Source organism: Homo sapiens, chromosome 11, assembly GCF_000001405.40.
Source record: "Homo sapiens chromosome 11, GRCh38.p14 Primary Assembly".
Classification (NCBI taxonomy): Eukaryota; Metazoa; Chordata; class Mammalia; order Primates; family Hominidae; genus Homo; species Homo sapiens.
In genome coordinates, this window is record NC_000011.10 from 43,662,035 (window position 1) to 43,684,595 (window position 22,561).

Sequence of the window (22,561 nt, forward strand, 5' to 3'; positions counted from 1 at the left end):
GATGAAATTAAAATTTTAGGCTCGGCATGGTGGTGCACGCCTGTAATCTTAGCAGTTTGGGAGGCCAAGGTGGAAGGATCACCTGAGACCAGGAGTTCCAGACTGCAGTGTGCTGTGATCGCACCACTGCACCCTAGCCTGAGTGACAGAGTGAGCCCACGTCTCTTTTTTTTTTTTTTTTTGAGACGGAGTTTCAATCTGTCACCTAGGCTGGAGTGCAGTGGTGCAATCTTAGCTCACTGCAACCTCCGCTTCCTGGGTTCAGACAGTTCTCCTGTCTTACCCTCCCCAGTAACTGGGACTACAGGCATCTGCCACAACTCCCTGCTAATTTTATTTTATTTGTGTGTGTGTGTGTGTGTGTGTGTGTGTGTGTGTGTGTGTATTTTTAGTAGAGGCAGGGTTTCACCATGTTGGCCAGGCTGGTCTCGAACTCCTGACCTCAAATGATCCACCCACCTTAGCCCCCCAAAGTTGGCCACATCTCAAAAAAAAAAAAAGAAAAAGAAAAATCTTCCTCATTAGATTAAGAGGACACCTGTTATATCTCAAATCAGAGCAAAGCTGAAATGAGACTTAAAACAAGGGCAAAGTTGTAATTGTAACATGGATTTAAATTTAAGCATGGATTCACAATACATTCCCAGAGGAATATCATGGAAAGGGTCAGAATATGTCATTCCATCTATAGCCTGCAGGTAGAATTTCCAATCTACTGGTTGGACAGCTTCAGAGCAGGACCACTTAGACTATTGACTATTCCTACCTTGGGGGTAGGGAAAGCAAAGAAGTTTATCTAAATAGGGTTTGAACATACATTCAATATGTAGTAAAGGTCCTGTGAAATTATTTGACTAGTCTTCACCAGAGTGTCCTGAAATTTTCATCTCATGATTAAACAGAAAGAATAGATTAATTCAGAGATAGGATTCATCTTAACTTTAACAGATACTAGAACAGCAAGGAAGTATCTAAACAGGACAAAGGACTATTAAAGTAATTAGATTTAAAAAAAATTTTTTTGAGAGACAGGGTCTTGCCTTGTTGTTTAATTTTTATTTTTTTGAGACAGAGTCTCGATCTGCCTGCCCAGGTTAGAGTGCAGTGGCGTGATCTCAGCTCACTGCAACCTCCGCCTCCCTGCAACCTCCCGTTTCCGGATTCAAGTGATTATCTTGCCTCAGAACTCGCAAGTAGCTGGGATGCAGGCATGTGCCACCACGCCCAGCTAATTTTTGTATTTTTAGTAGCGACAGGGTTTCACCATGTTGGCCAGGCTGGTCTCAAACTCCTGACCTCAAGTGATCTGCCTGCCTCAGTCTCCCAGAGTATTGAGATTACTGGCGTGAGCCACCATGCCTGGCCTATTTTTTATTTTTTATAGAGATAGTCTCACCATGTTGCCCAGGCAGGTCTCAAACTCCTAGCCTCAAGCAGTCCTCTTGCATTAGCCTCCCAAAGTGCCAGGATTACAGACATGAGCTACCATGACCAGCCAATTGGATATATTTTTGAATATCATCAATTTTTTGAAAGTAAGGCAGACAAATTTTGTTAGTGGTAGCCTTCAAACATTTTAAACCATGTTTTCTGTATACTTGGAAACCTGTAGTCAAAAATTATAATCTTGTCCATGTTACCAACTGAACTGGAGTTCCTTAGCCTGGCATAGTAAGGCCAACACCTACACCAAGGTTTGCAGTGGGAGAAAGAAGCATGTTTACGTACAGGGTGCCAAGCAAGGAGTATCAGGCAGTGCACGCTTAAGATTCAACCCCTCTAGTGGCTTACAGGTAAGGGTTTTTATTTTTATTTTTTTATTTTTTATTTTTATTATTTTTTTTTTGAGATGGAGTCTCGCCCTGTTGCCCAGGCTGGAGTGCAGTGGCGTGATCTCAGCTCACTGCAACCTCTGCCTCCTGGGTTCAAGCGATTCTCCTGAGTAGCTGGGATGACAGGCATGCGCCACCATGCCTGGCTAATTTCTGTATTTTTAGTAGAGACAGGGTTTCATCATATTGGTCAGGCTGGTCTCAGTACTCCTGATGTCGTGATCTGCCTGCCTCAGCCTCCCAAAGTGCTGGGATTACAGGCTTGAGCCACTATGCCCGGCCCAGGTAAGGGTTTCTAAGGCAGGGAGGCAGAGGTTACAGGCTAAGTCATAAATCAGTATATGGAGGTTATACATTGGTTTGGCCTAAAAGGGTGGGATATCTTGAAGCAGAGGCTTACAGACCATATGTAGATTCAAAGATGTTCTCATTTGCAGTTTGAGTAAGGGAGAGAAGCTCTGTTTAAAAATTTGGGGTCAGCAGAAAAGAATATTTGTACTGGCTCATGGGCATGACTTCCTCCAGGCCCCTCAAGAAGAAATTTAGAACAAAAAACAGCAGGCCTCAGAGTTCATTCCTCAGTTCCCTCTTATCTGAGGCCTATGTGCCAGCCGATCCATTTGGTGGGGGTCTGTGTTTCTGAAAAATAACACAGGGACATGTGTTAAGATGTTATCTTTAGTTTTTTTACATAGGGAACCAAACATCACTCTAACTTCCATGGCTATTGTTCTAGGCTACTCCTACCTTCTTGCTTATGAAGTTGCTCATTTACTTCTCAAGACTAGCTAGGAGCCTGGAACTTCCCTTGAAGGAATTTAAGATGTTCCTTTATTTTCATGCTTGGGGGTGCCCACAAGTCCCTAAGAGGGGTCCCTGCTCTGTCTCATACACAAATTATTTCTTGTTGTTTCTCCATAAATTTGCAATTAATAGGATTTCTAGTAACGGAGTTTTTAATGTTAAGCCCAGTTTACTAAACATCTTGCATGAATAAGGAATATTCTTGGTTTTTGGAAAGCAAGTCTTTCTAACATTTGCATTTAAAAGATTAAAATGTCTCGTTCATGAAACGATGAATGAAGAGCTTATTTATGAGGATCCTGTGAAGGCTTTTGGTCTTCCTGCAAATCCAGATCAGAAAGAGACCCATGTTAAAGTCTTTATAGAAAAAATGTTCATTCATATCCTTCTTAAACACGTAATATACATGATAATGTAATACATAATATATTAATAGTTGTAAATAAGGCAATTCTGAAAGAGAAGTGTCTGACACAGTGCATAGATTGGAAGCAGAAAACAAAGCCCTAGAATTACTCATGTCTTGACAAAGGTTGTTTTTCCCTAACTAAAACTCTGGTTTTAAAGTTTTATTTATTTATTTAGTCGCCTAGGCTGGAGTGCGGTGGTGCGATCTGGGCCCACTGCAACCTCCATCTCCCGGGTTGAAACGATTCTTGTGCCTCAGCCTCCTGAGTAGCTGGGACTGCAGGCATGCGCCACCATGCCCAGCTAATTTTTAAATTTTTTGTAGAGACAGGATCCCACTATGTTGCCCATACTGATCTCGAACTCCTGACCTCAAGTGATCTTCCCGTCTCAGCCTCCTAAAGTGATGGGGTTACAGGAGTGAGCCACCATGCCTGGTGATAACTACTATTGATGAGAATGAGATGAAGCAAATAATCCATTGACCACTTGTGGAAGTGTAAATCTAGTAGGTCCTTCAGGTTTCTTGGTGTCATCCTCCCTGAAAGGTAGACATTATTTGCATCCCCATTTTACAGGTAAGCTAACTAAATACCAGAATGGCCAAGGTCACACAACTGAGGGCTCATTCTGAAAAAGAAAAAGAAGATTCTATTCCTGATATGCTTTGCTCTACACACGCACACACGCGCATGCACACACACACACACACAAGCATGCCTTGTCTAAAATTATCTTCTGATCTGGGTGATCCCAGCTAATTGAGAGAAACAGCAAAGATAAATCCAACCCTTGGCCTGGAGCAAAGCCTGCTGATATCAGCCTATATTGGCCAAATTCTTGTCAACCCACGGAGTAGACAAGTTGGGAATGAGAAGTAGATGGAGTTTATTGTACGCCAAGGATATTTTATGGTTGTATGTGGTTAACCACAGACTCAGGTGCATCTTACCACACCTGGCTCACTTTTAAATTAGCTTTCCATCATTCCCATTCCCACCCTCCCTTCCTTTCCACTCCAGTCATGCTACTCTTTCTTCCTTCCTGCATTTTTTCCACTTTAGAGCCCTTAGGCATGCTAGTCCCTCCATTTTCTCAATATCTGGGTGCTAGGAAAGGGGAAATATTTATTTTTATTTTTTTGAGGCAGGGTCTTACTCTATCACCCAGGCTGGAGTGCAGTGGTGCAGTCATGGCTTACTGCAGCCTCAACCTCCTGGGCTCAATAGATCCTCCCAACCTCAGCTCCCCTAGCAGCTGGGACCTTAGGCACACACCACCCCGCCCAGGTAACTTTTATTTTTTTGGCAAAGACAGAGTTTTGCCATACTGCCCAGGCTGGTCTTAAACTCCTGGACTCAAGCAGTCCTCCTGCCTCAGCTTCCCAAAGTGCTGGGACTGCAGGCGCACACCACCACACCTGGCCATTTTTTGTTTGTTTGTTTTGTAGAGACAGCATCTCACCATGTTGCCTAGGCTGGTCTCAAACTACTGAACTCAAGTGATCCACCTGCCTGGGCCTCCCAAAGTGCTGGCCTATTTTTCATTCTTTGCCTAGTTTGAAAGAAGATTTTGAGGGGACTCATTAACATTCTCATAATACAAAATAAGGAAAATTAATAGAAGGAGGCTAGAGACAGGAAAATATGTTTAGATACCCTGTATAGATAATGTGAATGTCGTTCACTATACTTCACACGACATTTTCTGGTATTCTGATTATTAAAATGTTCCATGTAAACAGGGCAACATGAGACGATTTTCCTAAGATCACTCTTAAGAGTTGAGAATGAAGTCAGTACATCTGCCAGACAGCCCAAATGAAATGAGGACGAATAACCAACTATTCAATAATTGCGTGTTTACTTTTTACTGCTTTTAATAACTTGCTCTTTATTCCCTGCAGATAGCAAACCAACTGATTTGGGATAGGTGAGGCAACAAAGCCACAGCTTCCATAGTCACACCATTTCAATTCTTGTTTCTACAAATGAACAATTCATAAGTAATAAATTAAGAGAAAAGTAGAGATAACTGATACACTATATAGTTTTAAAATTCTGACTGAGTTTATTTATTTTTTATTTTTTTGAGACAGAGTATCACTCTATGGCCCAGGCTGGAGTGTAGTGGTGCAATCTTGGCTCATGGCAACCTCCGCCTCCCAGGTTCAAGCGATTCTCCTGCCTCAGCCTCCTAAGTAACTGGGATTACAGGCGTGTGCCACCACGGCTGGCTAATTTTTGTATTTTTAGTAGAGACAGGGTTTTGCCATGTTGACCAGGCTGGTCTTGAACTCCTGACCTCAAGTGATCCGCCCGCCTCAGCCTCCCAAAATGCTGGGATGAACCACACCGCACCTAGCCTGAGTTTATTTTTTAACTAGAAGTTATTGCTCCTTGCAACTAACTTTACCCTTTTCCTTCTGCCATAATAATCCATTCATTCATCTAATGAATACGGATCGGGTATCCTTTATCCAAAATGCTTGGGACCAGAAGTGTTGCATATTTTGGAATATTTGCATATACATAATGAGATATATTGGGGATGTGACCCAAATCTAAACACGAAATTCATTCATGTTTCATATACACCTTATACCATAGCCTGAGGTTAATTTCATATAATATTTTAAATAATTTTCTGCATAAAACAAAGTTTGTGTTAAGCACTAATATGTGGAATTTTCCACTTAAGGCATCATGTTGGTGCTCTAAAGTTTTGGATTTTGGAGTATTTCAGATTTTGGATTTTTGGATTAGGGATGCTCAACCTGTATTTATTAAATGTATATGAGGGCAAAATGGTGAATAAGACAAACAGGTCTTTATGAAACTTAAAGTATGGTTGGGACCAGTATGTGTAAAAAAACCCATGTAGGATGGACCTTGGTGCTTTTGAGGGCTGTAGAGAAGGCCCTTAATGCTTGAGTGTGGTGAGCAAGGTAGGAGGCTAGGGACCAGAGCATGATACACTTCCTTACGGAACACACACACACACATACAATTAGTTTTCAATTGTTGCTGTTACAAATTACTGCAGATTAGTGGCTTAAAACAATCATCTTACAATTCTATAGGTTAGAATGCCAACATGGATCTCACTGGGCTAAAGTCACTGCATTATTTTCTGGAGATACTAGGAGGAAGTTAATTTCCTTGCCTTTTTCAGCTTCTAGAGGCTGTGCACATTCCTGGTCTCCTGGACCCGTCCTCCATCTTCAGACCAGCAATGTTGCATCTCTAATCATTCTCCCACAGTCACATCTCTCTCTTTGACCAAAGCTGGGAAAGATTCTCCAATTTTAAGGACCTCCCCTGTGATTGATTAGATTAGGCTCATCTGGGTAACCGCCCACCTCAAAGGTCCTTAATTTAATCACATCCTTATAATATGGTCCCACACAAGGTAACATTCACAGATATGTAGACATGGATATCTTTAGAAGGTCATTATTCTGCCAAACACATATGTGTAAAGATAAATATGTAATTAATTTAAAAATTTATATAGAAACTTTTCTCAAACATTTGAAATAAACATAAATACTGTAAGAGAGTGTATCCCAAAACAGAGGCATAATCATTTTAGAATGAATAGAATTAAAGGTTTTTCAATAATATTATTATATATATTTTTGAGACAGGGTCTTGCTCTGTCACTCTGGCTGGAATGCAGTGACATGATTATAGCTCACTGCAGCATCAAACTCCTGGCTCAGATGATCCTCCCACACTGGGACGACCAGTGTGTGCCACCATGTCCAGCTAATTAAAAAAAAAAATTTTTTTTTTAGAGATGGAGTCTAGCTATGTTGCCCAGGCTGATCACGAACTCCTGGGCTCAAGCAATCCTCTATGCCTTGGCTTCCCAAAGTGTTAGAATTACAGGCATGAGCCACTGCACCTGGCTGTGTATATTGCTAATATATCTCTGATGAGATATTGCCACTGATATTGAAGAAAATAAATAGAGAACCACAACCAGAGTCAATGACAGGAATAATTCTCAGAAACATGATGCTGAGTTAAAAAAAAAAAAAAGCAAATTCCAGAAAACTACCCAAGTGTGTGTCTTAGGTCTACCGCAACAAGGTGCACCTGCAAACTAGGTGGCTTTAAAGAATAGCAATTTATTGGCCAGGCAAGGTGGCTCACGTCTGTAATCCCAGAATTTTGGGAGGCTGAGGTGGGTGAATCACTTGAGGTCAGGAGTTCGAGACCAACCTGACCAATATGCTGAAACCCCGTCTCTACTAAAAATACAAAAATTAGCTGGGCGTGGTGGCAGGCACCTGTAATCCCAGCTACTTGGGAGGTTGAGGCAGGAGAATCACTTGGACCTGGGAGGCGGAGGTTGCAGTGAGCCAAGATGGTGCCACTGCATTCCAGCCTGGGCAACAAAGTTAGACTCTGTTTCAAAAAAAAAAAAAAGAATAGCAATTTATTCTCTCACAATTTTGAGGCTAGAAGTCCAAAATCAAGGTGTTGGGAAGGGCCATGCCCTCTCTGCAGGTTCTCCAGAAGCATCCTTCCTTGCCTCTTCCTAACTTCTGGTGGTTGTTGGCCATTTTGAACGTTCCTTGGCTGGAAACTGTATTACTAAAATCTCTGCTTCCATTGTCTCTCCCTCTGTCTCTTTGTGTTTCTCTAAATCTCTCTCTTTTTATAAGGAAACAGACATTGGGTTTAGGGCCCACCCTAATCCTTTATGACCTCATCTTAACCTGATTACATCTGCAAAGACCTTATTTCCAAATAAGGCCAAGGTCACAGGTTGTGGGGTTAGGACTTTAACATATCTTTTAGGGAGATACACTGCAGCCTGCAACAGTCATGTTACCCAGGAAACAGACTCTGAGATTGAGATTTGCTTGCAGGGGATTTGTAATGGAATACACTGGGGAACAACATCCTTAAGGGAGGGAGGGAAGCTGGATTAAGCTGAAAGAGAAGTTGAACTGCACTGCAGTATAATGGAAGCTTCAGGAAATTCCACTGGGAGCTCTGAAGCTGGGAAGGCTTTTCAGAGATGTTCATAATTAAGATAGGTGGTCCAGGCTTTTGTACTCCTGCATCATCCAGTCATTGGATGTAGGCTGCCATTGGAGAGGGGCAAAGCAGCTCCCTTTAGCCTAGGACAGGTCCCATAGAGGGACATAGACCAGGATTGTCAGCAAATGTGGGAATGAAGGTCTTGGTCCTGGAGGGAAGATCTGGGATGCCTTCCCCAGCACCCAGCATATCATGCTTTTTAAATAGAGCTCAAAAATAAGCAAAATGAAACACCATGTTATTATTTCATATATATTTTGATATAAGCATATATATTTAAAAGCAGTAGAACGATATACAACATTTAGGGCTGTGCTTACCTTTGGAGAATGGACTAGGGTAGGTTTTTGGTTTTTGGTTCTTGAGTTAGGTGGTGAGTTTACAGTTTTTCATTATATTATGCTTTATATAACTAACATATATTTCATCTAATCTTTTGTATACATCAAATGTATTTTAAAAGATAGCAAGGGAGTCTGGCACAGTAGTTCATGCCTGTAATCCCAGCACTTTGGGAGGCCAAGACAGGAGGATTGCTTGAGCCCAGGAGTTGGAGACCAGCCTAGGCGACATAGCAAGGCCTTGTCTCTACAAAAAATATTAGCTGGGTGTGGTGCTGTGTGCCTGTAGTCCTAGCTACTTGGGAGGCTGAGGCAGGAGGATTGCTTGAGTCCAGGAGTTCAAGGCTGCAGTGAGCTATGATCATACCACTGCACTCCAGCCTGGGTGACAGAGCAAGACTCTGTCTTTATACAAATTTTTAAAAAAGATTATAAGGGGAATAAAGGAAAGAACTAGGCAAAAATAATATAAACTAAAGTAGCTAGAATTTTTAGAAAAAAAAAGTGTGGGTAAAGATAACAAATCCTTGGACCTATTGCCAAATTAAGGATTCAGGTAAAGAAAACCTCCTCAAATTCCGCTATATTATTTGCCTTAAGTTTGCTTGCATAACTGTCCTACAGTTATGCTGGAAATATGATGTAGGTAAGATATTATGGTTTACTTTCCCTTTCACATGGTTTTATTTTATTTATTTATTTTTTTGAGATGGAGTCTCACTCTGTTGCCCAGGCTGGAGTGCAGTGGCGCCATCTTGGCTCCTGGGTTCAAGCGATTCTCCAGCCTCCACCTCCCAGGTTCAAGTGATTCTCCAGCCTCAGCCTCCCAAGTAGCTGGGATTACAGGCTTGTGCCACCACACCCAGCTAATTTTTGTATTTTTTAGTAGAGACGGGGTTTCGCCATGTTGGCCAGACTGGTCTCAAACTCCTGACTTCAGGTAATCCGCCAATTTTGGCCTCCCAGAGTGTTGGGATTACAGGCATGAGCCATCGCACCTGGCCCCTTTCACACGGTTTTAAACTGGTTTGTTTACCATGGCACTAATTCCTTTCTTTAAGCGAAAGTATTCTGAGTAAGATTGATGGAACAATTATTAGATCTGCTGATGCAATAAAGAAAACCAGTTAATGTGCAATATTGGTATGTCAAGATTTCACTATGATATTTTTAATCATATATTATTGAGTGGAGAAAGAAAGTTGTTGAATTATTTTTGCATAATCACAGCTTTTACTTCTAAAAAAGTATATATGTATATGTTGTGTATATTATATAGCTTCATACTTAGAAATGTCAGTGAAAAGAAAAAGAAATGGAAGAATACAGTACAAATTGCCAACTGTTAGTGGGAATAGAAAATGGGGTGGGATGCTTTTTCATTTCATATAATTCCGTGTGCTTTTGAAACTAAAAAATAAGTAAAATGTTAAAACTATATTTTCTAATCACTTGTTTCAAAATGACTGATTTCAGCTTTATTTGGGAAATATGTTTACAGAAGACTATGAATGTGAGTCTAAGTTCTGTTATAAAATAGGTGGCAGAGTAGAAAGAGCCCTTCTTATTTTTTATTTTTTATTTTTTTTAGAGACCGAGTCTCGCTCTGTCGCCCAGGCTGGAGTGCAGTGGCATGATCTCGGCTCACTGAAAGCTCTGCCTCCCGGGTTCACGCCATTCTCCTGCCTCAGCCTCCCAAGTAGCTGGGACTACAGGCGCCCGCCACCACGCCCGGCTAATTTTTTTGTGTTTTTAGTAGAGGCGGGATTTCACCGTGTTAGCCAGGATGGTGTCAATCTCCTGACCTCATGATCCGCCTGCCTCGGCCTCCCAAAGTGCTGGGATTACAGGCGTGAGCCACCGCTCCCGGCCTAGCCCTTCATTTTTAGTGAAGACATCTTGGTTCTAGAAACAGGCCTGCTGCACTAAAGTAGTCCGTATGCAAGAAGGTTAACTTAAAGAGTTAATTTCCCTGTTGGAAAAATGGGGGTGTTATTGTGATGTTTGAATGGGGTAATGTATGTGAAGTGACTTTGAAGTTGATATTGCAATATTAAAGCATAATAGGTGTTTTTGTTTGTTTGTTTTTAAGATAAAGTCTCACTCTGTTGCCCAGGTTAGAGTGCAGTGGTGCGATCTTGGCTCACTGCAACCTCCACCTCCTGGGTTCAAGAGAGCCTCAGTCCCCTGAGTAGCTGGGATTACAGGCGCCTGCCACCACACCCGGCTCATTTTTGTGTTTTTAGTAGAGATGGGGTTTCACCATGTTGGCCAGACTGGTCACAAACTCCTGACCTCAGGTGATCCGCCTGCCTCGGCCTCCCAAAGTGCTAGGATTACAGGCGTGAGTCGCCGCACCCTGGCCAATAAATGTTAATCTTCCTTTCTTATGGTAATATTTCTTGTTAAATAAATTAAATATTAACTTTGGGAAACCTCCCAATTTCTAATGCTTAAGACTCAGTTTCTTTTAAATTGGTTTGTTCATCACAACACTTTTTCTTTTTAACCCAGGATTGGACAACTGAATTTAAAGGCAAGTTAAAGTTCAATATTTTGAACAATGTTTAAATCAAGATGAGCGAGAAGACAGAACTGTTAAAAGGTTTTATTTTACAGCCAAGTGAAGGATTCAGCTATGTCCCAAAGGATTAAACAAGATGGTATGCTTAATAATTCCTCGCTTCTATGAAACTCCCTGATTATGAAGTGTACTTTCATTCTATAGAACTACTCCTGATTTCATCAGGAAACTCTGATCTGAAACTCAATTTACAGAAATATTAAAAATGAATTTTCGACTAAATGGGAATATTTGTATACTAATATGATACAATATTGTTGCTTCATTTTTTTCATATTAAATACTATTCTAAACTCTAAATTTGTTAATAAATGAAGCAGAAATCTAATGTGATTACATCTGAGTATTTTATTTGTGTAATAACAAAATATTTCTAGAGACTCTTCTACTCTCCTTTAGTCTTTTTCTTTTCTTTTCTTTTCTTTTCTTTTCTTTTTTTTTTTTTTTTTTGAGACAGGGTCTCACTTTGTTACCCAGGCTGGAGTTCAATGGCGCAATCTCAGCTCACTGCATCCTCCGCCTCCCAGGCTCAAGCAATTATCCTGCCTAGCCTCCCAAGTAGCTAGGACTACAGGCATGCACCACCAAGCCCAGCTAGTTTTGTTTGTTTGTTTGTTTGTTTGTTTGTTTGTTTGTATTTTTTGTAGAGACAGGGTTTCGCTATATTGCCCAGGCTGATTTCGAACTCCTGAGCTCAAGGGATCTACCCAAAGTGCTGGGATTATAGGCATGAGCCACGGCACCCAGCCTTTAGTCATTTTTTAGATGCTGCTTTCTCTGAGCTAGTTCTGGAGATATGATTTCATAGTCACACCTTTTTGGTTCAAATTCCAATTCTTCCACTTACTAGCTTTAAGCTTCTGTTTCCTCATTCATAAAATGGGGTTAAGAGTAGTACCTACCTCACTGAACACTTAATATCTATCTGCCAATCACTGCTAAATGCTTAAGTAGTATTGTTCTCATTTTACAGATGTGGAATTTGAATGCATAATAATTAAATCTATACAAGATCATACAGCTAATAAGAGGCAGAATCAGGATCTGGTTCCAGATTTACCTGACACTAAAGGCCAGAGTTTTATCGTATTGCCTCTTCTTCGGAGAGCTATTAGTCACATGTTTGGTTAGTATGGCTCTACTAACCCTTCATTAGATGTTAAATTTCAGCACAGAATACTGCTGAATAGGAGTGGGTCATCATTATAGGGTCCTGTATGCATTAGAGTTTACTGTGGTTCGTAAAATTTATTCAGCGACAAAGGATTGTTGAATTCCAAAAGTGTGTGACCACCTGAACTCCAAAGGGCTATCTGGCATGTACTGCTTCACTTTGTGGAAGTCGCCATTTTTTCCCTTAGTAGATAAAACAATTAGTATTCCTAATTCCTAAAAAGAGGCTGAGGTGATCAGAATAAATGTGTACATTTTAAATAACGATTATTCTATTAATTGCATGGGTAGTGCCTAGGCATTTTAGAAGAGGAATGCATACCAAAATGAGATGGTTTCAGTCTTTAACATTCCTTTTCATTAAAATAACTAAATTCCAACAGCAATGGAAATTCCATTTCCAAAGTACATGTGTTTATTTTAAATAGCCCTACACCAACAATTATTGCCTATTTAATTTTATGCCATATGCTGTGATAGTTGCAAGAGGCACAGATGTGTATTCTTCAAAACCACATCAAAGCCTTCATTCCGGTGTTGATTGCTTTCTCCTCTACCACACCCTCACTCAATTTCTGCATTTTCTCAGATCCCAGTTCAAATATGGGTTCCTTAGAAAGGCGTTTCAAGGCTGTTTCTTTTCCCCCACCTAAATTAGGTCCTCTTGTTAACCTCTTTCCTTATGTCCTATTATTTTCTTCTTTGTACGTATTACAATTTTTATCATATAATTAGTTGGAAGTTTGCTGAATGTCTGTCTCTCCCACTAGACAATCTATTTTCATTTATTCCTTCATCACCCATTCAACAGGTATTTATTGCATACCAAGTGTCAGGTACTCTTGGGTGCACATCTTAGCTAAAGATACAGTGGTGAACAAGAAAAGTTCACTGTACTAATGAACTTACATTCATTCTATTAGGTAGATGGACAAAGACCTAGTAATCAAACAATTTGAAAGCATTATGTTCTGTAAGGAAAACAAAGTAAGATAAAAGGATAAGGATTGCTAGAGCAGAGGATAAAGCTATTTGGGAAAGTTATGAAGGGAGGTCAGGGAATACCATTCTAAGGGGGATGACATGTGAACAAAAGCCTAAATAATACAAAGGAGTGAGCCTTGGGAAGATAGTAAGAGGTTCCAGGCAGAGGGAAGTGGAAGTGTAATAGAACGACTCTGAGACCAGAATGAAATTGACTTATTTGAGGAACTGCAAGGAGTTAGTGTGGCTGGAATCAAGTGAGCACAGGAGAGGGTGGTCCGTGTTGCCGGAGAGGTCAGGGCAGACAAACTCAACTTGGAGGATTTTGTTCTTAATGTGATATAAAGTCCTTGAAGGGATTTGAGTAGAAGAAAATGATATCTAATTTACTTAAAAAAAAAAAAACCCTCTAGTTGCTACATGGACAACAAACTCCAACACAGGCTTTAGGGAGACCAGTTAGGAGGCTATTGCCATATTCCAGGCTAAAAATGCTTGTGATTTGAATTAGGTTAGTAGTGGCCAGTCAAGATATATTTTGGAAGTAGAGTGAATAAGACCTGCTAAAGAATTGGATATGGAATGTAATGGAAAGAAAAGAATCAAGGTTCAGGCCTGGCATGTTGGCTCATGCCTGTAATCCTAGCACTTTCGGAGGCCCAGGCAGGCGGATAATTTGAGGTAAGGAGTTTGAGACCAGCCTGGCCAACATGGTGAAACCCTGTCTCTACTAAAAATACAAAAATTAGCTGGGCATAATGGCGGGCACCTGTAACCCCAGCTAATTGGGAGGCTGAGGAAGGAGAATCACTTGAACCTGGGAGGCGGAGGTTGTAGTCAACTGAGATTGCGCCATTGCACTCCAGACTGGGCGGTAAGAGCGGGAAAAAAAAGAAAAGAAAGAGTTAACATTCATCCCTAAGTCTTGGGCCTTAGAAAGGGGGTAAATGATGGTATCATTAATAGAAATAGGAATGAAAAGAGGAAGAGGGTGTGTGTGTGTGTGTGTGTGTGTGTGTATGTGTTAAGCGTAGAGTTCTATTCTAAACATGTTAAGTTTGAAATGTTTATTTTATATCTGAGTAGAGATGCGAATAGGCAGGTGGATATATATACTGTATAGAAGTCTGGACCTCTAAGCAGAAGTTGAGCCTGGACAGAGACATTTGGAAATAATCAGCTTACAGCTGATATTTAAAACCAAGGGACTGGATAAAATCATATATTAGAGACGTAAAGAGAGCTGGGGTCTGAGCCTGAGGGCACTGTGTAATTTAGAGGCCAGTAAGAGAAGGGGCCAGCAAAGGACACTGAGAGGAAAGCAGTGGCCACTCCCTGTTGAATGGTAGAGTAGGGTTAGGACTGAGAATTGCCCATTTGCTCACTATTTTATACCTAGTACCTAGCTCAGTGGACTGGCACATAATTAGAACACAATAATATTTGTTGAATGAATGAATCTTCACTTCTGTTTATTTCTTAGATATTTGTTGGGGTACCCTAGGTACCAGGCACTGTTTTAGGTCCTATGGATTCACAGCATAGTGTTCCCTATAATCATAGATTCTAGTGGGGGCCACAGACAGACATATGCAACAAAAAATATGTATTGTTAGTTTATAATAACTGTCTTCTCCCCCTTCCACCCTATTCTAAGGAGAATGGGACTGAATATCTAGAGGGTGCCTTGTTGGTGAGCAATGATGAGCTGGGATATATAAATTTGGGGATATAGCTATACTGTAGGCAAAGATTTGGGGAAGAGGGAGAAGTTGAGGACGAAGAGTGGTGGGCCTTTAGTTGAACTGAAGAGGCAGCCCCAGCCAAAGGTACCAAATTCAATTAAAATAAAATATGATGTCAGCTCGACTCACATGGCTGAATTCTGCAGGGTAATTGATGGTTTACATTTACAGCCTTAGGGTTAGACCTAATTAATCTGATAAGAGAATGGAGAAGGGGGGGTTTGGGCAGCAAGAAATAAGGCTCAAATTGAATCTTATCAAACTATGAAGTTAGCTGCAAGGTATGTTGAACTGTTACCCTTAGAATTATTATCCTTAAGTTCTTGCTTTACAAAAAACACTCAAGTCTTGAATCAGCAGCCCCTACTGGCTAAGAACAAATTTTAGGTACCTTTCTGAGCCCAAATCCATGCCAGAGAAGGAAACAAAAACTCTTGAAGGAAGGTAGAGAGTAAGTGTGAAGCACTTTATTGTTTTACACAATTTTTTTAAATTATACTTTAAGTTCTAGGGTACATGTCCACAATGTGCAGGTTTGTTACATATGTATACATGTGCCATGTTGGTGTGCTGCACCCACTAACTCGTCATTTACATTAGGTTTATCTCCTAATGCTATTCCTCCCCACCCCCCCACCACCCCATGACAGGCCCCAGTGTGTGATGTTCCCTTTCCTGTGTCCAAGTGTTCTCATTGTTCAATTCCCACCTATGAGTGAGAACATGTGGTGTTGGGTTTTTGTCCTTGCGATAGTTTGCTGAGAATGATGGTTTCCAGCTTCATCCATGTCCCTACAAAGGACATGAACTCATCCTTTTATATGGCTGTATAGTATTCCATGGTGTATATGTGCCACTTTTTGTTAATCCAGTCTATCATTGTTGGACATTCGGGTTGGTTCCAAATGTGAATAGTGCTGCAATAAACATACGCGTGCATGTGTCTTTATAGCAGCATGATTTATAATCCTTTGGGTATATACCCAGTAATGGGAAGGTTGGGTCAAATGGTATTTCTGGTTCTAGATCCTTGAGGAATCACCACACTGTCTTTCACAATGGTTGAACTAGTTTACAGTCCCACCAACAGTGTAAAAGTGTTCTTATTTCTCCACATCCTCTCCAGAACCTGTTGTTGCCTGACTTTTTAATGATTGCCATTCTAACTGGTATGAGATGGTATCTCATTGTGGTTTTGATTTGCGTTTCTCTGATGGCCAGTGATGATGAGCATTTTTTCATGTGTCTGTTGCCTGCATAAATGTCTTCTTTTGAGAAGTATCTGTTCATATCTTTTGCCCACTTGTTGATGGGGTTGTTTGTTTTTTTCTTGTAAATTTGTTTGAGTTCTTTGTAGATTCTGGATATTAGCCCTTTGTAAGATGAGTAGATTGCAAAAATTTTCTCCCATTCTGTAGGTTGCCTGTTCACTCTGATGGTAGTTTCTTTTGCTGTGCAGAAGCTCTTTAGTTTAATTAGATCCCATTTGTCAATTTTGGCTTTTGTTGCCATTGCTTTTGGTGCTTTAGACATGAAGTCCTTGCCCATGCCTATGTCCTGAATGGTATTGCCTAGGTTTTCTTCTAGGGTTTTTTATAGTTTTAGGTCTAACATGTAAGTCTTTAATCCATCTTGAATTAATTTTTGTATAAGGTGTAAGGAAGGGATCCAGTTTCAGCTTCCTACATATGGCTAGCCAGTTTTCCCAGCACCATTTATTAAATAGGAAATCCTTTCCCCATTTCTTGTTTTTGCCAGGTTCATCAAAGATCAGATAGTTGTAGATGTGTGGTGTTATTTCTGAGGGCTCTGTTCTGTTCCATTGGTTTATATCTCTGTTTTGGTGCCAGTACCATGCTGTTTTGATTACTGTAGCCTTGTAGTATAGTTTGAAGTCAGGTAGTGTGATGCCTCCAGCTTTGTTCTTTTGGCTTAGGATTGACTTGGCAATGCGGGCTCTTTTTTGGTTCCATATGAACTTTAAAGTAGTTGTTTCCAATTCTGTGAAGAAAGTCATTGGTAGCTTGATGGGGATGGCATTGAATCTATACATTACCTTGGGCAGTATGGCCATTTTCACGATATTGATTCTTCCTATCCATGAGCATGGAACGTTCTTCCATTTGTTTGTGTCCTCTTTTATTTCGTTGAGCAGTGGTTTGTAGTTCTCCTTGAAGAGGTCCTTCACATCCCTTGTAAGTTGGATTCCTAGGTATTTTATTTTCTTTGAAGCAATTGTGAAGGGGAGTTCAGTCATGATTTGGCTCTCTGTTTGTCTGTTATTGGTGTATAAGAATGCCTGTGATTTTTGCACATTGAGTTACAAGACAGGGATGCCCTCTCTCACCACTCCTATTCAACATAGTGTTGGAAGTTCTGGCCAGGGCAATCAGGCAGGAGAAAGAAATAAAGAGTATTCAGTTAGGAAAAGAGGCAGTCAAATTGTCCCTGTTTGCAGATGACATAATTGTATATTTAGAAAACCCCATCGTCTCAGCCCAAAATCTCCTTAAGTTTTACACAATTTTTTAAACTTACCTTGTGATCTTTCTCCTCTGCAACTTTGCTAACGTAGTTCCCATGCCTCTATCTGGACTTCACACTTCTGTGCCCCCTGGAAATACCACTCCCCCACTCCCCAACCAAAAAAGGGAAATTTAAAAAAGAAAGTAAAATTTTCTATCCCCCTTTGAAGACAAATTAAAAGATATAGTCTCCTTCCAAAACTAATTGTTCAGCAAGCTGTGTTCCTATATTTTTCATTCACCATACAGCTCTGATGCCATCGTCTAACAGTTATTAGACTCCATCAGGTTATTTGCCTTGAACCCCAAATCGTTGGGAACTAAGTGATGTTTAGTGCTCAGCTGGGAGGGAGGTCTGGCATTTAAGGGCTCTCTATGAGTGAGTGTAACCCGGGCGAATGCCTGCAGCGAGGAAGGCACAGACACAGAAGACTGCAAGCCTTTATCTGGAAAAGTTTATGGCAACAATGACAGCACGCTTAACAATGATATATTTATTATATAATTATATCATATATGTAAAATATATATTTATTTAATAAAGAGTTGAAAATAAAACTGTGGCTCCACACCTATTTCTTTTCTTTTTTTTTTTGTTTTTGTTTTGGGATGGAGTCTCACTCCGTCGCTCAGGCTGGAATGCAGTGGCGCGATCTCGGCTCACTGCAACCTCTGCCTCCCGGGTTCGTGATTCTCCTGCCTCAGCCTCCCGAGTAGCTGAGATTACAGGCGCACGCCACCACGCCCGGCTAATTTTTGTATTTTTAGTAGAGACGGGGTTCGGATGTTGGCCAGGCTGGTCTCGGACTCCTAAGCTCAAGCGATTCGCCCGCCTCGGCCTCCCAAAGTGCTGGGATTACAGGTGTTAGCCACCGCGCCCTGCCTACGCCCACTTCTTACTATAATCTTTCCATTCACTAGCGGCTTCTCTGATCCCATTTCCTCTTCGAACCTGAGCTCAAACCAGCCTGGGTCTGACCGGCCAATCCGAGCGCAGTCTTCCGCAGTCGCGAGTACGGCTGCAGCCAATGAGAGACCGGGGCGCCTCGGTGGGGTGAGACAGGGCGCTCACTGGCGGAACCCCGGGGGACGCGGTGATGGGAGGAGTGTGGGAGGGGCAGTGGAACTGGAGTCAGCTAATGGCTGACGCACTACGCGCAGAGGGAAAGACGGGTCACCAATAGCGACACGGATATGGCCCCGCGGGCGGGGTTTAGGCCCAAAGTGGTGTCGGAGCAGCGCCTATTAGTGTCATCCTCACCGTCACGGCCGGCGCCTCCTCCTGGATTCATTCACTCGCTCTTTTCATTCACGAAGGTAGTGAGGCCTAGTGGAAAGCCATGGAGAGCGCTCTCCCCGCCGCCGGCTTCCTGTACTGGGTCGGCGCGGGCACCGTGGCCTACCTAGCCCTGCGTATTTCGTACTCGCTCTTCACGGCCCTCCGGGTCTGGGGAGTGGGGAATGAGGCGGGGGTCGGCCCGGGGCTCGGAGAATGGGCAGGTGAGTCGGATGCAGCGCCGCGTCCTCGCTCCCGCGGCGGCCCGGACCAGGCCTGGGCCGTGATGACTAGTTCTGGGGTCTGCTCCTGGCCTTCCCCTCCCCAGCTCTCCTCTTTCTCAGGCTCCTGTGCCCCGCGGGCCCCTCCTGGCTCCCTTGGCTGTCTTCTGCTTGCTTAGACTACTTGCAGAGTTTTAAGGTACGAAATACACTGCTCGCTCAATCCTGGGAATCTAAGCTCAGCTTAGGGTGTAGGAGAAAACTGCCTTAAGTCTCTGGGGCTTGTGCCCTTTAAGCCATTCCGTGTTCATGGAGCCAGTCAGTCGCCCTGCTGCCTCCTCAGTCACACGCTGTCCTCCTTGGTTCGCCCCTTGTAAGTGTTTTTAAAATAAAGTTTTTCGCTCGGTTTGAATATTGGCCCTGTGCTAAGGATGCAGAGCATTCTGTTAACATGTTTGGGCAGAGGATGGAAAGGGGTGTAGGGACACAATTTCAGAAGGCTTTTTGCACTGCGGAATCGTACCTCCCCAGTTACGATTAAGATAGTAATCGTATCTGGATTTGGCCTATTTCATACAATTACAAAGCCCCTTTAAAAGGAATTCTCGCTAAACTGTTCTGGAGTCCTAACGAGTAGCAAGAACTATTGCTTCTGTAAAATGATAACTCATCATGTTAAAATCAGATTTTTTTTTTTTTTTCACAAGGACGTTTGTAGGAAAAAGTATACCCGTAAAGAGTGAACCAAACACATGGAACTTGTAGTCGGAGGATTTTTAAAATGGAGGACGAAGGTCAGGTTGAGGAAATAGGGAAAATTATCTGCAGGGAAGTTTTGCTCCCCCCCCCCTTTTTTTTTTCTTTTTCAACCTATTTTGTTTCCTTCTTTGCTTTATTTTTCGTCTCTTGGCCTTTTTTCCCTTTAAACCGAGTGATTACTTATGATATGCTTGTGGTCCTACCCTGAGATGATTATTTATTTTGATGTTTTATAATCGAATGTGCACTTCCTAAGCATTTTATTGAATTTTGGGGTGGTTAGGCATTGCCTGCAGACTGGGCTCAGGTAAGATACACTAATAATGTTACTCCATGTTCTTTGTTTATTTAGAAACATTTAAACAACCTAGTAGGAAAGACATATGTTAACCTTTTGGGTTTATGTTAACATTAAGAGAAAACATCTTAGCAGTGGATATGTATGTGAAATCTTTGGACGATGTGGAGCAACATTATAATTCTGTTTCACAGTCACCTGTTTCTCTGAAAAAGGAAGTGAAATGTTCAGCTGGGTGTGATGGCTCACGCCTGTAATCCCAGCATTTTGGGAGGCCGAGGCGAGTGGATCACAAGGTCAGGAGTTTGAGACCAGCCTGACCAACACGGTGAAACCCCGTCTGTACTAAAAATACAAAAATTAGCTGGGCGTGGTGGCGCGCCCCTGTAGTCCCAGAGGCTGAGGCAAGAGAATCGCTTGAACCCAGGAGGCGGAGTTTGCAGTGAGCCGAGATCATGCCACTGCACTCCATCCAGCCTGGGTGACAGAGCGAGACTCATCTCAAAAAAAAAAAAAAAAAAAAAACAGAAAGTGAAGTATTCAACTTGGTTATAATTAAGATTATGATTTCCCAATTGACTTGCCCACATTCTTCATTGTTAGTTTTGGAAAACCTGTTTGAAGACTTTTGACTACAAAAGACTACAAGATTTTTATACAAGATAAAAATTAGGGAATTGTATCAAGATAAAATTTGTAATTGGTAAGCAAAGACTAATGTTAATAACTTGTTGTTTTCTTTTCTTTTCTTTTTTTTTTTGAGACAGGGTCTCACTTTGTCACCCAGGCTGGAGGGCAGTGGTGTGGTGGTGTGATCATAGCCAACTGCAGCCTCGAACTCTTGGGTTCAAGTGATCCTCCCATGTGAGCCTCCTGAGTAGCTGGGACTACAGGTGTGCATCACCACACCAGCTCATTTTTTTTGTTTTTTGTAGAGACAAGGCCTCACTCTGTTTCAGAGGCTGGTCTGGAAGACCTGAGATCAAGCAATCCTCCTGCTTCAGCCTCCCAAAGTGCTGGGATTACATGTGTGAGCCACCATGCCTGGATGTGTTTTTTTTTGTTTTTTTTTTTTTTTCTCTTTAAAATTGACCATATTGGTTGATTATTCAAATGATAAGTCCAAGTCATCTACATATGAGTGTACAGTAAAAGGCAAGTGATGTAACACCATAAGTAACATTTGTGTTGAAAAGATTTGGCCCCAGAGGAAGGATAATTGATAAATTAAGGGAAGTATTTGTGTAAGATTTAGATATGAAATTTGAACTGGAACACTGGAACAGCAGAGGATCATAGTATCATAATTGAAGTGAAATGCTGACAGGTTCAATTTACCCTGGGTTTTGGATTTTTTTTTTTTAAATGCTTAAGCAGAAGAAGTGATCTTAAAAGAAAATACTCCCTTTATCTTCAAATTCTGGGACTCTTCAAAAACAAAATTAAGAGCAGCTCATCTTAAACAGGTTCTTCACATGAGTTGGAGGGGTGAACTGAAATAATTTGAAAAACAAACTAGCAGAGATGACACTTGAATAATTAGAGTTGTGATTAAAAATATTGTTCCACCAAAGTTATGATTTTAGAATTGTTGTATGTAAATAGTACTAGTAAGTTTTTTCCCTACGAAATTACTATCTTAATCTCAAGAGTCTCTGTTCTTATGCAGCCTTTGAATCTACTTTCTAGTACTAATATTTAATATTTTCCTCTTTAAAACCAATTATATATTTTAAGTATTTTATTAGTATATGTTGAATTGATACTATATTTTTATTCTTGTTATTCTTAGTCTCTTCATGTGAGTATCTTCATGTGAGTATGTTTAATCTGTCTGCCTCAGATTTTAGGATCTGAGGGGCAGAAAGCGTGGATTCTCACTTTTTGTCTTTTCTCACAAATTGGCTCTTCTAAATTTAAGAACAAAAACTTTGAAAAACTTGAAATACAGGTATGCTTCACAATCAGTAAAATATTCTAGATAACAGTTTCCTTAGTGTTGTTAGGCTTTCAAGACTGTCCATTACTTGGCTGGCCCACACTCTAATTTATCTCCATCTCCTGGTCAAGAGCTGGGCCATCTCTTTCTCCTAGTTCTCACCAGTAACATTCCCACTCAGGTGAATCCCCTGTGTTCCCTATACCCCTAGAAGGTGGGTTTAGCCAATTTAGTAAGTAAGACTTCTTTGTCATTGTTACCCGAATACTTCCTGTATTTCTTAGGAGAACAAAAGGAGATCCTGTGAATGTGGAGTTTCAGGTGTTTGAAGGTCAGTGTAGCAAGTAATCAAAAAAAGATTGATAACAAAGGTGGTCAGTTTGTATTAAATAAAGGAAAGAACAGTCACTGCTATAGAGCAATAAAAAATGTGATCTGTAGAATGTGGTTTGACCATAAATACATTTTGCAAGTATTTGAGTAGTTTCCATTGCTGGAGTTCATCTAAAATGATTGCTATTGAAATAAAGTGGAGATGATAGATGCAAAGGCAAGGTAAGTAGACTTCCAATGTCAAGATATTTTATAACTTTAAACATAAGACAGCACTCTGAG

At 41.2% G+C, this 22,561-nt stretch overlaps 1 protein-coding gene across 7 annotated transcripts in view, besides 4 other annotated features; it reads left to right on the forward strand.

Annotated features, from left to right (window-relative positions):
* Positions 1-22,561, forward strand: part of HSD17B12 (hydroxysteroid 17-beta dehydrogenase 12) — a 299,895-nt gene that overhangs the window by 105,314 nt on the left and 172,020 nt on the right. Inside the window, exon 1 of one of the 7 annotated variants that reach the window (NM_016142.3) lies at positions 18,704-18,953. The exons of 4 other annotated variants lie outside the window; for them this stretch is intronic. In NM_016142.3, coding sequence (NP_057226.1) covers positions 18,794-18,953 — 160 coding nt within the window. In that variant the 5' untranslated portion in view covers positions 18,704-18,793. Of the gene's footprint in view, positions 1-18,703; positions 18,954-19,068; positions 19,324-22,561 lie in introns of those variants that run through there. 2 more of the 7 variants (XM_017017881.2, XM_011520156.2) reach the window with 2 other exon arrangements.
* Positions 18,299-18,348: an enhancer, noted in NCBI's record as "active region_4642". NCBI's record gives its function as "activates an Ori minimal core promoter by ATAC-STARR-seq in GM12878 lymphoblastoid cells {active_cell/tissue: GM12878}" and the evidence as "EXISTENCE:reporter gene assay evidence [ECO:0000049][PMID:35858748]".
* Positions 18,559-19,124: an enhancer, noted in NCBI's record as "NANOG-H3K27ac-H3K4me1 hESC enhancer chr11:43702143-43702708 (GRCh37/hg19 assembly coordinates)". NCBI's record gives its function as "activates a minimal SCP1, AML or CMV promoter by ChIP-STARR-seq in naive H9 embryonic stem cells {active_cell/tissue: H9 hESC(naive)}" and the evidence as "EXISTENCE:reporter gene assay evidence [ECO:0000049][PMID:30033119]".
* Positions 19,199-19,248: an enhancer, noted in NCBI's record as "active region_4643". NCBI's record gives its function as "activates an Ori minimal core promoter by ATAC-STARR-seq in GM12878 lymphoblastoid cells {active_cell/tissue: GM12878}" and the evidence as "EXISTENCE:reporter gene assay evidence [ECO:0000049][PMID:35858748]".
* Positions 19,399-19,458: an enhancer, noted in NCBI's record as "active region_4644". NCBI's record gives its function as "activates an Ori minimal core promoter by ATAC-STARR-seq in GM12878 lymphoblastoid cells {active_cell/tissue: GM12878}" and the evidence as "EXISTENCE:reporter gene assay evidence [ECO:0000049][PMID:35858748]".